Genomic DNA, 13,675 nt, shown 5'->3' with positions numbered 1-13,675 from the left:
CTGCCCGCCTCAGCCTCCAAAAGTGCTGGGATTACAGGCGTGAGCCACTGTGCCCGGCCTGACTTCAAATCCTGTGTTGAATAGAAGTAGTGAGAGCGGGCATCCTTCTCTTGTTCCTGATCTTGGAGGCAAAGATTTCAGTCTTTCATCTAAAATGACTGAAAGACTTTCAGCCATGGGCCTTGCATGACTGGCCTTTATTTTGTTGCAGTACATTCCTTCTCTTCCTGGTTTGTGGAGTGTTTTACCAGGAAAGGGTGTTCAGGCTGGGCACAGTGGCTCAAGTCACACAAAAGTGTCAAGTCAGCCCTGCCCAAGGGCCCCAGTGCCCATCTTCCTGCTGAGGGGCTGGGCCTCACCTTGGCTGGCTGGGCCCCTCCCACCTGGATCCCTGCAGACCCCACCGCACTCAGCCTCACTTCTCATCCCTTTCTCTGTCCAAGGCCAGCGCAGGCTCTTTCAGGGAGAGGAAAGGCGGGCCTGAGTCTGTGCTCTGCTGCACCCCAGATTCAGTCCTCAGAGAGGAGAAGGAGGAAGCCAGTGGAGGTCACAGGCGCTCAGCCCCCAGCCCAAGCACCAGAGCCCCCAGCTTGTCCTCTGTCCCTCTCCCTCCCTGGCAGGGGCTCCCATGCAGTCCCCAGGCACCACCACAGCCCAGCTGGCCTCTTCCCACCCCAGGCCTGCTCCCTTGGTGCAGGGACCACAGTCTTGCTCAAGGGGTGAGGGGGCTGACGGTCCCCTACACAGAGACTGGTCCCTCTCGAGGCCACCCCTTGACCCCCAGACATGAGACTGGATCTGCAGGGTCCCCTCTGACCTCCCTGCCCTACACAGGAGGGGACAGAGCTTGGAGAAGCCCTGTCCCAGGCCACATGACTTGCAGGGCAGTCCCAGGACTGGAGCCCCCTCTACCTGGATCTCTGGGCCTCAACTTCTGAGTTGCAGGAACTCAGGCATAGGGGAGCCCCAGGAGGTTGTTCCCTCATACAGCCCCTCAGGTCATTCCCTCCACACACCTGAGCCTATGGCTGAACCAGGAAGGTTCCTTGGTGCCAGGGCAGCTGGACTCACCCTGGGTGATGGTGAGGTGGGTCCCCTTGATGGACTGCCACGACAGCCTCCCTGATCTGTATGTCCAGCTGGACTTGGCAGAAGTACACAGACTGGTCCTCCTTCCGCAGGTTCGAGATCCTGAGGAAGCCTCCCTGAGGAAGTGAAGGCTCAGAGCAACAGTGGGCACCCCGCACAAAGTCCTGGGCCCGTCTCTAACAGGGGATCTGCAGGTCTTTGCCCGGGGGTGGTCACTGGAGCTTTGGTGACCCACAGGGCTCCCTCCATAGGAGGCTCTGCCCATCCTCTCCAGAGTAAGGTGGCATCAGCTGAGGGGCCGTGGGGACAGGAAGGCAGGATTTCACCAGAGGAAGTGATAACAATCTTCTTGAGACAGAAGCAGGCAGGGACAGGCCTCCCTTCTCTTGTCAGTCTCTTCCCTGGTCCCAGTAGGCTCCTCTGTGCTTCCCAGGGCCAGTCAGGCCGATCCACCCTCCTTCCCTTCACAGGTCTGAGGAAACAGGCTCCCCATGCTCAGGAAACCCCTCCGTCTGAGCCAGGCCCTATACACCTCATTCTCCTTGTTCAACCCACAGGGAAACTGAGGCACCGGGGCTTTGGACTGAACTGGTCCCACCTGCAAAGGTGGGCCGAAAAGAGGACAAGGGACCCCCTGGCTGTTTGGGCAAGGCCTCAAGAGGGTGGCCCACCCTGCCTGAGGACTTTTTGTTTTTTTTTTTTGAGATGGATTCTCGCTGTGTTGCCCAGGCTGGAGTGCAATGGTGTGATCTTGGCTCACGGTAACCTCTGCTTCCTGGGTTCAAGTAATTCTCCTGCCTCAGCCTTCCAAGTAGCTGGGAATTACAGGTGTGTGCCACCACACCCAGCTAATTTTTATATTTTTAGTAGAGACAGGGTTTCACCATGTTGGCCAGGCTGGTCTCAAACTCCTGGCCTCAAGTGATCTGCCCACCTCAGCCTCCCAAAGTGCTGGGATTATAGGCATGGGATACAACACCCAGCCACTGAGGACTGACTCTTCGTTCCATTCCTGCCTTGCCCGTGGCCCATGGGACCCAGCTAGAAGGTCACCTGCTTACCAGGCTGCCCAAGGAGGGGGCCACATAGAACTTTTAGCCAACAGCCTCTGGGTAGCTCTGGAGGGTACATACTCCCCAGGGGCCTCAGGCCCGGTACCGCCACGTGCATTCTCCTTAGATGCAAGGTGCGTGTTTATGTCACTTTCCGGGCTCTGGACCCAGCTGAACCCCCATGGGAGATTCCTTTTGTGTCAGGATTTCTGCTCTGGAATGGTGTGAGGCCTCCCGGATGGTTCATCCTCCCTCCCCCAACAGCAGTGACAGGGCCTGGGGCTAAGCCTGGGGCTGTGGCTCTCTCTCAGAGGGGGGTTTTGGGAGGCACCGGCCCTGGAGGAGGGCATGATTCCAACATGGGCAGAGTCTAAATCCAGCCCGTTAGCCCAGCAGGTGGCCATGGGAGAGGCATGGGATGCAGTGTTCAGCAGAGGCAGGGAGGGGGCCAGGACCCTGCCCATTTTGAGAACTGCTGCTTGTATGTCCCCACCTTCCCCCAACAACTATCCTCCTTTCCTCACCAGCCACGTCTATGCCTGCCCCAGCCCCTTGCCCCTCCTTGGCACCCACCTTGTTCTTGCTTTCCCCTTGAGATCAGGAATGAGGCACAGATGTCTGCTCTCACTGCCTCCCTTCACGGTACTGGAGTCCTAGCCAGCGCGCTATGCCTGAAGGGAAATACAAGTGCTCTGTGTCTTCTTCAATTCTGTATTGATCTATTTGGCCTCCACCCATCACAGGGCCCATATTATCTATATTTCCTGCATTCTTGGCCTCTTTTTAGTGGGGGACATGGTCTCGCTCTGCCTGTAGGTGGGACTATAGGCACGCACCACAGTTCTCCCCTAATTTTCTTTTTTGCAGAGACGTGGTGTCACTGTTACCCAGGCTGGCCTCAATCTCCCAGGCTCAAGGCATCCTCTCAGTGTGCTGGGATTACACATATGAGCCACAGGGCTGAGCCCCTTGTACATTGCCAATGCTCTGGCATCTGGTGCCTCACTGACTAGGGAGAGACTCCCCCTCCCAGGGGTAGCTGACTGTAAAATTTTTACATCAACTTATTAAATCAGCTGGTCAATTTTGACCCAGAGCCATGCTGAAATTTTGATTAAGAAGCTCCTATTCAGGCGGGGCACCGTGGCTCAAGTCTGTAATCTCAGCACTTTGGGAGGCCAAGGTGGGTGGATCACCTGAGGTCAGGAGTTCGAGACCAGCCCAGCCAAACATGGTGAAACCCGTCTCTACTGAAAAAAAAAAAAAAAATACAAAAATTAGCGGACACGATGGTGCACATCCGTAGTCCCAGCTACTCGGGAGGCTGACGCAGGAGAATCACTAGAACCCGGGAGGTGGAGGTTGAAGTAAGCCAAGATCGTGCCAATGCACTCCAGCCTGGGTGACAGAGCAAGGCTCTGAAATCCAGCCAGATTTCAGGCAAGTCCTCCTACTTTCCAGCCCTGCCTGATGCCAGCTGTGGAAGGAGGGCATCAGGACTCTAGCCCAGGCCACAGCAGGGAGCCCGGCAGAGGGACGCCAGGTCAAATCACAGGGACTTTTCTCAGGCTGAAGCCCCAGGAACCCTTGCTGCTGTCCTAGGACATGGTGGGATTGCAGCAGGGACCATCCCGCTGGGATCCCCCAATTCTGTCTAGGAAGCCACAGGTGTCCCTCAGGAAGCTCCCCCAACCCCCCGCCACCCCAAGAAGCCAGGACAGATCTCTAAGACTGGGACACTGCCCTCTCCCTGGGCCAAACCCAGCCCTGCAAGGAGGCCCCAACCCACTCTGGTTCTCACCTGGCTTCTGCCTCCCAGGGGTGGAGACTTCCTCCCCAATCTCTTCACCCCCAAAGAAGCACAGCCAAGGCCCATGTCAGAGGAACTGTGTTGCTGACTTAGTCACAGCAGGAAACGACTGGAATGGGGTACTGTTGCTCACACACTCACACCTGTGCCCACACACACCCACACATGCACACACACAGACCACATCTGCAGCAGGTGGGCCTGGCCAGGCACCTGTGGGACACTTATTAGAGGCCCAAGAATAACGTAAGGGGGTGGCACCCAGGAGGCCTGGGAAGGGGAAAGCCCAGTGGCCTCATGGTCTCTCTCATTGAACTCCTAAGGGTCCCTCCATGGCCCTGGGCCCCAAGGGTCAGGGAAAAGAGTGAGGCCAGGACCAGTGCAGGGAGGCCTCTGCCCAGCCTAAGCGTAGAGTCCATTCTCAACAGAGACAAAGCTGCCATGTGCAGGGATGGATGTGGAGGCCCAGGCAGCAGGGCCCTGGGGCCAGTGTGCGGTGTGGGTGGGGAGTGATGCCCACCAGGACGGCCCCCTGTCGGGGGTGAGCTGTGTCCAAAGTAGCTGGGCAGCAGCTGGTGTTGATAGTGGCATAAGGGACGTGGAGAGCAGCCTGGGAGGCCTGGCTGGGTGCCTGCGCGGGGGAAGGAGGATCAAGTGAGTCTGTACAGCTTGGGCCCAGCCCTGGCCCCCCCTACCCCTGCCACCTCATCCCCAAAGCAGCCCCCCTCCTCACCCATGCTCGTGCTCTCAGTGCCTAGGAGCTGGTGTGGGATGGCTGGAGCCTAGGGGCAGGGCTGGGAGAGAGCAAGGATGGTCAGAGCTCTGCACGGCATGTGGCCAGCCCAGTGTCAGGGGGACGTGGACAGGGCCCAGGTCTCACCGGTGCTTCTGTCGGCACAGCAGATGAAGGAGGTAGCCACAGTCAAAGAGAAGGACTCCTGAGACCCCCAAGATCCCGGCCAGGTCTGCCCGCAGAATGGGGGCAGGAGTCGGCGGGACAGAGAGCCCTGGGCACAGAGGCAAGAATCAGATGGATGGCCAGTTCCCGAGCCCCTCCCTGCCCTCCTGGACCCCTCACCCCGGCCCCACCTGGGTCTGAGCTGGGCGGGAGGCTCCCACAGGCCTCCCAGGAGCCCTCAGGGAAGGACGCAAACTTGCAGCAGAAGGTGGTGTTGGCGCAGGGGCTGCTGGCCCCAGAGCCTTCCAGGATGAGAGAGATGCTGCTCTGGGTTTCCCAGCGGGCCTGGCGAGCAGGGGCCCATTGCTGGATGCCAAGTTCCGGGTGCAACACAGCCAGCGTGGTCCCCCCAGCACCATCGGGGCCCCCCCTGCTCACAGTCACCAGGGAGATGGAGCCAGACTCCAGGAACCCACAACGGATGGTGAAGGACGAGAGCTCGGTGGCCTCCATCCGAACTTGTACTCACACCTCCGGGGTCCCTGTGGAACAGCAGCAAGGTGGGTGGGCTGTCGTCCTACATCACCCTCCCTGCAGCCCCTGCCCCTCTCTGGTGCCGGCACTCACCTGCAGTGACACGCAGGGTCAGCAGCACCCAGGGCAGGGCCAGGGTCCGGCGCCCCATGGCCCCCTCCAGTCCGGGTTCTGGGGGCTGCAGGGCCGGCACCTGTGCCTCTGTTCTCATCGCAGGAAGTCTTCATGTTGTCAGCAGCCAAACAGCCACTTCCTTCTCTCCTCTCACACCTTCCCCAGAGGTGGTGAGCACAAAGTGGCTGATTCCCTTCTTAAAGTGACAGTGAGGGCCTGCTCAGTCCCCAAGGCTGTGCTTCCAGGTAACAAGGCAGGGCGGCACAGGTGGGTGAGAACTCAACCCTGGCTAGGCCTGGGGAGGCCAGGGGAGGGGCAGAGAAGCTGTCAGGGGCTAGAAGGACTCCCCTTCCCTGGACAGCAGGGGGTGCCGGGCTTCCCTAGGAAAGGGCTCTGTCCTGCCCCTCACCCAGCTAAGGAATCTGGGAGGAGAAAGCCCCTGGGAGTGGGAAGCCAGCAGGGAGGACCTGAGAGCCACCCCAGCATGCATGACCCACCACCAATCTGACGTGGGTCCCACGCTTAAACCTGCAACCCAGGCCTCCCCCACAACCCCCAGCCTGGCTCGCCCACTGCCCACTCATACCTCCTGATCTACCCTGAATGCACCCCATACTGGGCTCTGCCCCAGGCGCTGTCTCCCTTGTCATAGGTGATGGCAACGGCTTCTGGCTGCTCAGGCCCAAAGCACAACCACCAGCGCCTCTTCCCTTTCACCTCCAATGCACCAGGAAATCCTGTTGGCTTCCCACCCTGACCAAAGGACCACTTCTTCTCAACATCCCCCTGCAACCCCCAGCCCCTGCTACCTTCTGACTCCAGACCTAATCTAATATTCTCCTACCTGGAAGAGCAGGAACAATGGAGAATTGGCCTGGCTAGTTTCAGTTCTCACCGCAGTGGCCAGAGTGACCCTTTCGAACCCAAGTCAGGCAGGCCACTGCCCTTCTTGACTCTCACAGCCCATGACACCCAGAGCCAATGCCTCAAGGGCCATCCATGTCCTGCCATCCCCACTTCCCCTGCCCTCCTACCTCAAGTGCATACCTCTGAGTTGAATTAAAAGCAGCAAGATTTGGAGGTGACCGGGAGGAAACAGGCTGGCCCTTGCCGTGAGGTGTGCACAGACAGGGAATGAGAGGCCAGCACTTTAGGATGAGTCCAGGAGTTCAAGACCAGCCTGGGCAACATGGTGAGACCCTATCGCTACAAAAAAAAAAAAAAAAGAAAGAAAGAAAGAAAAAGAGAGAGAGAGGGAGGGAGGGAGAGAGAGAGAGACAGAGAAAAAGAGAGAGAAAGAAAGAAGAAGAAAGAAAGAAAGAAAAAGAAAGAGAAAGAAAGAAAGAAAGAAAGAAAGAAAGAAAGAAAGAAAGCAAGCAAGCAAGCAAGCAAGCAAGCAAGCAAGCAAGCAAGCAAGCAAGAAAGAAAGAATTAGCCAGGAGTGGTGGTGGGCACCTGTAGTTTCAACTATTTGGGAGGCTGAGGTTGAAGGATCGCTTAAGCCCAGGAGGCAGAAGTTGCAGTGAACTGTGATTACACCACTGCACTCCAGTCTGGGTGACAGAGTGAGACCCTGTCTTGATAAATAAATGTTGCTCTGAATTGCTTCACTGCTTATGTCACTTTGAGGATGCCAACCTACCAGAATGCTGCTAGGCAGCAACAAGTGACCCTTTCCAGGGATCAGTTTGCTTTGTGTGCTGTGAGCCAGAATCCAGGGTCCAGTGAGAGCCCAGGGTGCTGTCTTAAGGTTGATCTCGTCCACGGTGTGGTAAGGACTGAAGAGACAGCCCTGTCCCAAGTCACCTCTCTGGGTCCTGGTTTGCCCCTGTGTCAAAGACTCATCATGTCTGCTTAATCCTGTGGTGCTGGCTGGATGTGGTGGCTCATGACTATAATCCCAGTACTTCCGGAGGCTGAGGTGGGTGGATCACTTGAGCCCAGGAGTTTGAGACCAGCCTGGGCAACATAGTGAGACCCTGCCTTTACAAAAAATAAACATTAGCCGGGTGTGGTGGCTTTCGCCTGTAGTCCCAGTTACTCGGGAGGTTGAGGCGGAAGGATCACTTGAGCCTGGGAGGTGGAGGCTGCAGTGACCCAAGATCACGCCACTACACTCCAGCATGGGTAAAAGTGAGACCCTATCTCAAAAAAAAATTTAAAAATTAAAAATTAAAAAAAAATACAAAATAAAAATCCTGTGGTGTTTGACACAAACCAACTTGGTCTCTGGGGCAAACTCTGTCCCCTCATCCACACCCTGCAGCCCATAGTAGCCTTCATGGTGCCTATGCCCGCAGCCAGTCACCCATGGCTCCCAACATTCTCTTCACCCTTTGCCCTTCGCCCAGGCCACCTGTACTAATCTCCACACCTGCCTCAGACCTGCTTTTACTGCTGTCTCCACTACCATCCCCCAGCAGGGTGTGAGACTGGTGCAAAGGGGACCTACCTCAGGTGGCCTGGCCAGCGTAGCTACAAAGCACCTAGAGCACCTGAGGCTGCTGCACATCTACCTCCCTAGTCCGGAAGACCCTTGCCTCCCACTGAAAGAAACCAAAATATTTAACCTCAGAATAGGTTTCTTTGCCATATTTTGGGACGGTTCTGTAGGCAGCTGTGGGCCTGCAACATGGTCTTCAGTCAGGGAAATCCGCCTCTGCAGAGGAGACAGTGGAGTAGACAGCGGATGCACACAGCCTTTCTCTGCAGTCCCCGTGTCTGGATCTAGGAAAGACAAACTGAGAGGCGGACCCCTTTAAGGGTCTGAAGGACTTGCCTACCACAGGCTCCGCAGAGTACCAGCTGTGAGATGTCACCTGCAGAACAAGACCTTTGCTAGCCAAGTCTCTCCTCTCCCCTTCCCCTAATCTGTCTTGCTGCGCTCCAGGCCTCCCGTTATTTCTGTAATTTCAAGATGGGTATAAAAGTGTCAACCATCTGGCCATTTATTTTTTTATATATTTTGTATGACTTGTGCACATGTGTGCACGTAGTAACATTTTTAAGTCGGTTTTTTTTCCTGTTAATGTTTTATGTTTGTTTCATAGACTCAGATTATCAAACCTTCAGGGAAAAAATTTAAACTTCCCTACACCACCTGCTGAAATCCCACTTTGTAAGAAGGAGATCAAATCCCACCACCTTCAGGAAGCTGCCCCAAAGTACTGCGCCCTTACTTCTTGGATAATCATCCAAGTGGCCTCCCAGCTGGGTTCTCGACAGTCCTGGGGGCATTTTCACAGGTGGATGCTGAGCCCTGGAGGAAGTGTGTCTTTTATTCACCCCAATATGGGGAGCCCAGAATTTATTGAGGGATTTAAAAGCCATGGTGCAAAGTTGACTACCCACCATTTTCATTTTTTTTTTCAATTTTTTAAGTCACATTATCCCCTAAATTCTCATTGTGTAAGATTCAAACAACATAGAACACAAAGTTCTCCTTTGGCCAGCTCCTTCTGTTCCCCTCCCTGTTTGAATTCTCATGAGGCTTGATCTTTAACATTATCATTTCTGTTTGTGTATTCCTTAGGAAGGCTAAGATTATGAAAATATTTTTATGGCTTTGTTTTTATGCATAACTCTATAAAGAGTTTCTTCCTAGTCCATGAAGAACTTTACTTTGGAGGTGGTGTTAAAAAGGCTGTGTAGGCCGGGCATGGTGGCTCATGCCTGTAATCCCAACACTTTGGGAGGCCGAGGCAGGCAGATCATGAGGTTAGGAGATCGAGACTGTCCTGGCTAACACGATGAAACCCTGTCTCTACTAAAAATACGAAAAAAATTAGCTGGGTGTGGTGGCGGGCGCCTGTAGTCCCAGCTACTCAGGAGGCTGAGGCAGGAGAATGGCGTGAACCCGGGAGGCGGAGCTTGCGGTGAGCAGAGATCGCGCCACTGCACTCCAGCCTGGGTGACAGAGCGAGACTCTGTCTCAAAAAAAGAAAAAAAAAAAGGCTGTGTAGCTGGGTGCAGTGGCTCATGCCTGTAATCCCAGCACTTTGGGAGGCCGAGGCAGGTGGATCACTTGAGGTCAGGAGTTCGAGACCAACCTGACCAACATGGAGAAATCCCATCTCTACTAAATATACAAAATTAGCTGGGTGTGGTGGCGCATGCCTGTAATGCCACCTACTTGGGAGGCTGAGGCAGGAGAACCGCTTAAACCCAGGGGCGGAGGTTGTGGTGAGCCGAGATCCCACCATTGCACTCCAGCCTGGGCACAAGAGCAAAACTCCGTCTCAAAAAAAGAGCCGTGTAACGTCTCAGGTGGAGGGCCAGGATTCCCCAGACCATTTGCTGCTGGGCTCCTTCCCTACTGTTTCAAAATGCCACCTTGATCATAAATTCTTACACATAGGTCTATATGTGGATTCTCTTTCACAGTCTATCCACTGGGTTGCTTATTCTAGTTTCAATATCACAAGGTCCTAACTGGAATGCTTTCATGTTCTGATATATGTGAGGGCCCTTACTCTCACAACTTCTTGAGTATTCCTTAACATTCTCCAAAATTGTGAACAGCAGAGCCACAAATAATTCCTAAGCTTGGCAATCTAAGTCCTGCATCCCACTTTCAGCCAGGAGGTACAGGCAAGATGGGACAGGTTTCACAATGGCCACCTCCTGCCTGACATTCCTTGGTGAAATCCCTGCAGCCCCAGCCCAAGTCCTGCTGAAGTAAAAGAGCCCAGTGGTCAGTCTGTAGAATCAGGCCCTCATGGGTTTGAAATAGGGCCACAATTTCATAGCTCTGCAAGCTTAACAGAGCAATTTCCCAAAGCAGCAGGATCCCAACAGGGACTGCTCCACAGAGTAAATGAGAGGATCAAGTCAGTGAGTGCAGGGGCAGCACTCTACTCAGCCCTGGCTCGTGCCCCAGTACAGGCTGTGACCGTCCTGTGATATAAAACATTCCTCGAGTTTGGTTTCTTCTCACCAGGAATCAGGATTAGCTTTCTTTGTGGCTTGTGTGAAAGATGCGATGACACAAGTTCATCTCTATTACACCTTCCCAGGCAGATCAACTGTATGTCAATGTCCCCTCTTCAGGGGCGGCTGTCTTCCGTCCTAGCACTGCTTCCACTGGAAGAGTCTGAGCTCCTCATCCTAGCCTTGGTTCTGGGCAGCAAACAGCCCAGCCCTGAGCAGCCTCTGTTCTTCTGTAGGCCCATGGGGCCCACTGCAGACAGGAACCCAGGCAGCTGATTCAGATGGCCTCAATTCCTGGGGCCAAAACACAGGGTCCTGGAGGGCCTAGTCTCACCACAGAGAAAGGGAAATGACTATAAAAATCCAAAATATTTTTGACAGAGGACTAGAGGCCTCCTCCCTCCCCTAAATGCTTTGGCACTTGACACAACCTTAGGGAAAAGGAAGGAAGCCAAGAAGACTCAGGAGTTAAATTTTCTCAGCAGCTGGGCAGAAAAAGAGCTTGAAATCATAGAGGAAAAATAAAGTTGTTTCTGCTCTTCTGAGTTTGTAGCATAAGACTTGTCACTGCTGCATTTATTTTTACATGCATGTTTTAAATGTTGTGAAAAGGGCTGCTTTTGTTCCTCTGTAACTTTAATTATAGCTTATCCTTTATCACAGTAATACAGCTAATGCAAGATAGCGTCTTCAGTGGATACTATGTGCTAAACCCATTCTCAGTGATGCACGTACATCAGCTCCATACTTAGCAATTGCTTTATGTGGGAAATAACTTGCCCGGGGTGGAAGGGCTACTTACACAATGAAGCCAAAATTTAAACCCTGACAAAAATTTTCGCTTCAGAACCCATAATATTCAGCATTATGCGGAGCTGCCTTCTCCCACACCTTGGTTAAAAAATTAAATTGAATTACAAGACTGTGTCAGCAAACGGCAGTCCTTTGCCCTGGCAGTGCAGAAGCCAGGAGTTGAACCCGTGTCTCTCACCAGGTTAAGCTGCCTCGCTAAGTTTGGATGTGACCTCAGAAACAGAGGCTATTCCAGCAATACAAGATGCTTTATTTTTCGGCTTCTACCTATGCCACCCAATCCCTTCACTGGGCCTAACTTAGTGAATCAAATTAAGTATATTTCCCTCCAAGTTTCCCCAGGATTCTGGGCTCCTTTGCACACTACAGGTTTTCTCTAAACGCCCCGGGTTTATCTATCCTTTGGTGAATTTTCAACTCTTCTCCTTATTTCTCTGCCCTGTCCTGACCAAAAATCTTCAGTGCCTGTTTCTCTCTGCCATCCAAATCCCACACACATCTAGGGGTGAATCGGTGAATCTGCACTGATGAGTGACTCGTCTTGTGAATCCTTTCTAGGATCTCAGTATTTCATCCTATCCCGAGGGAAGGCTCTAAAGAGCTCAAGGAAGACCTCACGATGTCTATGTGTGAGAAGAAACCTTTCACCCCTTCACTATCACACCCCATCATCCAAGCACACACTCCTCTTTCATCCCATAAACCCCAGTCAGTGTCACCTGGAGTAATAAGGATGGGGCGACTTACCTAGTAACTGAAGACTCTCAGTAATCTGAAAAAAAAAAATCCCTTCACATTTTAACTCAGGAGATAACACCAACAAGTCACTTCCGGCAGACCTCATGGCCACACTGCAAGTTAAAAAAGGTAAAGCCTTATTGAAAATCATTGAAAATAATCTTAAAACAATTATTCAATATTAACAGACAATGCCCAGCAGTGCCATGTGGGAGGCAAGCCACCCAGCTGCCAAGGCAAGAGACCGAGGGCACAAGCTGTTCCAGTATAATAAAGAAAATACATAGAATAAGAATAGTGATACTAGAAATAGATTATAGATATGATTATATATTAATATTACTAATCATTAGTTTATAGCATTACTCTTTATTCCAATATTATAATAATCTTTGTTCTACAATTATAACCTAGGAAAAACCAGGCCATACAGAGATAGGAGCTGAAGGGACATGGTGAGAAGTGACCAGAAGGCAGGAGTGTGAACCCTCTGTCACGCCCGGACAGGGCCACTAGAGGGCTCCCTGGTCTAGTGGTAATGCCAGTGCCTGGGAAGGCACCCGTTACTTAGCAGACCTTGGTCTAGCAGTGGTGCCAGTGCCTGGGAAGATAACTGTTACTTAGCAGACCGGGAAAGGGAGACTCCCTTTCCCTGGGGGAGTTAGAGAAGACGCTGCTCCACCACCTCTTGTGGAAGGCCTGACATCAGTCAGGCCCGCCCACAGCCATCCGGAGGCCTAACCGTCTCCCTGTGATGCTGTGCTTCAGCAGTCACCCTCCTGTTTCACTTTCATGTTCCGCTCTGTACACCTGGCTCCACCTTCTAGATGGCAGTAGCAGAATTAGTGAAAGTATTAAAGTCTTTGATCTTTCTGAGAAGAGCATAGAAGAAATAATGACGTACACTGTCCTCTCTCTCTCCGCCTCAGCTACCTAAAAGGGAAAGGCCCCCTGTCTGGTGGACACGTGACTCATGTGACCTTATCTATCAATGGAGATGACTCACACTCCTTACCCTGCCCCCTTTGCCTTGTATACAATAAATAGCAGCGCTGTCAGGCATTCAGGGCCACTACTGGTCTCCGCGTCTAGGTGGTAGTGGTCCCCCTGGCCCAGCTGTCTTTTCTTCTATCTCTTTGTCTTGTGTCTTCATTTCTACCATCTCTCATCTCCGCACACGAGGAGAAAAACCCACAGACCCAGTAGGGCTGGACCCTACAGTGCCAGCCCCTGAAAAGCACTGCTCTGCATCACTTACCAGGCTGGGCAAAGGCCTCCATGCCTGCTACCTAAGCTGGCCTCAGCTTGTCCAGCCTGGCCTGGGCCTGGCCAGTGGGAGGTGCTGCTGAGAAGCCAGAGCCCTGGGCTGTCCTGGACGGCCAGCAGGGGGCTTGCTGGCATGAACCCTTCACAGCTGAGCCTGTCAGGGTGAGGGCGTGCACAAAAAAGTATCCACAGATGTTGTGCAGTAGAAATAAAGAAACATTCTAACCTTTTAAGACAAAAAGACAGTATCGCTTCTTGGCCTTTTGGCCAAGATCAAGTGTAGATAAAAACATGATAAGTCATGATTCCCCTGGAAAATGATCAGTATCCTGAGGGAAGAGAGGCAAACCCCCAGCCCATCACCACACACTGCAGCTCACACACTTCAGGTTTTGTGCTCCCAGACAATGCCTGTCCTCATGAGAGCACTGT

The 13,675-nt window shown here is 53.1% G+C and overlaps 1 long non-coding RNA gene, 1 other non-coding gene and 1 pseudogene across 4 annotated transcripts in view, besides 1 other annotated feature; all 3 read right to left on the bottom strand.

The window, feature by feature from the left end:
- STAG3L5P-PVRIG2P-PILRB (STAG3L5P-PVRIG2P-PILRB readthrough) overlaps positions 1 to 13,675 on the bottom strand; it is a 31,767-nt gene that overhangs the window by 9,877 nt on the left and 8,215 nt on the right. Inside the window, exons 4-14 of one of the 2 annotated variants that reach the window (NR_036569.1) lie at positions 11,987 to 12,090; positions 8,068 to 8,156; positions 6,545 to 6,703; positions 5,477 to 5,792; positions 5,288 to 5,391; positions 5,041 to 5,194; positions 4,832 to 4,958; positions 4,685 to 4,745; positions 3,943 to 4,582; positions 2,715 to 2,812; positions 1,072 to 1,205 (exon numbers count right to left, since the gene is read on the bottom strand). This is a non-coding gene — a long non-coding RNA (STAG3L5P-PVRIG2P-PILRB readthrough). Of the gene's footprint in view, positions 1 to 1,071; positions 1,206 to 2,714; positions 2,813 to 3,942; positions 4,583 to 4,684; positions 4,746 to 4,831; positions 4,959 to 5,040; positions 5,392 to 5,476; positions 5,793 to 6,544; positions 6,704 to 8,067; positions 8,225 to 11,986; positions 12,091 to 13,675 lie in introns of both variants that reach the window. The other variant, NR_036570.1, reaches the window with a different exon arrangement.
- Positions 1,234 to 1,304, bottom strand: MIR6840 (microRNA 6840). The gene has a single exon (NR_106899.1). It is a non-coding gene; the product is annotated as a microRNA 6840 (primary transcript).
- Positions 4,019 to 5,637, bottom strand: PVRIG2P (PVR related immunoglobulin domain containing 2, pseudogene; annotated as a pseudogene). Its single transcript, NR_103728.1, has 5 exons — positions 5,477 to 5,637; positions 5,041 to 5,391; positions 4,832 to 4,958; positions 4,685 to 4,745; positions 4,019 to 4,582 (listed from the first exon to the last, which is right to left on the bottom strand). The product of NR_103728.1 is annotated as a PVR related immunoglobulin domain containing 2, pseudogene (transcript).
- Positions 12,618 to 13,267: an enhancer, noted in NCBI's record as "active region_26355". NCBI's record gives its function as "activates an Ori minimal core promoter by ATAC-STARR-seq in GM12878 lymphoblastoid cells {active_cell/tissue: GM12878}" and the evidence as "EXISTENCE:reporter gene assay evidence [ECO:0000049][PMID:35858748]".

The sequence above is a fragment of the Homo sapiens genome, chromosome 7 (assembly GCF_000001405.40).
Source record: "Homo sapiens chromosome 7, GRCh38.p14 Primary Assembly".
Taxonomy (NCBI): Eukaryota; Metazoa; Chordata; class Mammalia; order Primates; family Hominidae; genus Homo; species Homo sapiens.
Note: the sequence above shows the minus strand (reverse complement) of the source record. Positions and strands in the feature narration are given on the sequence as shown.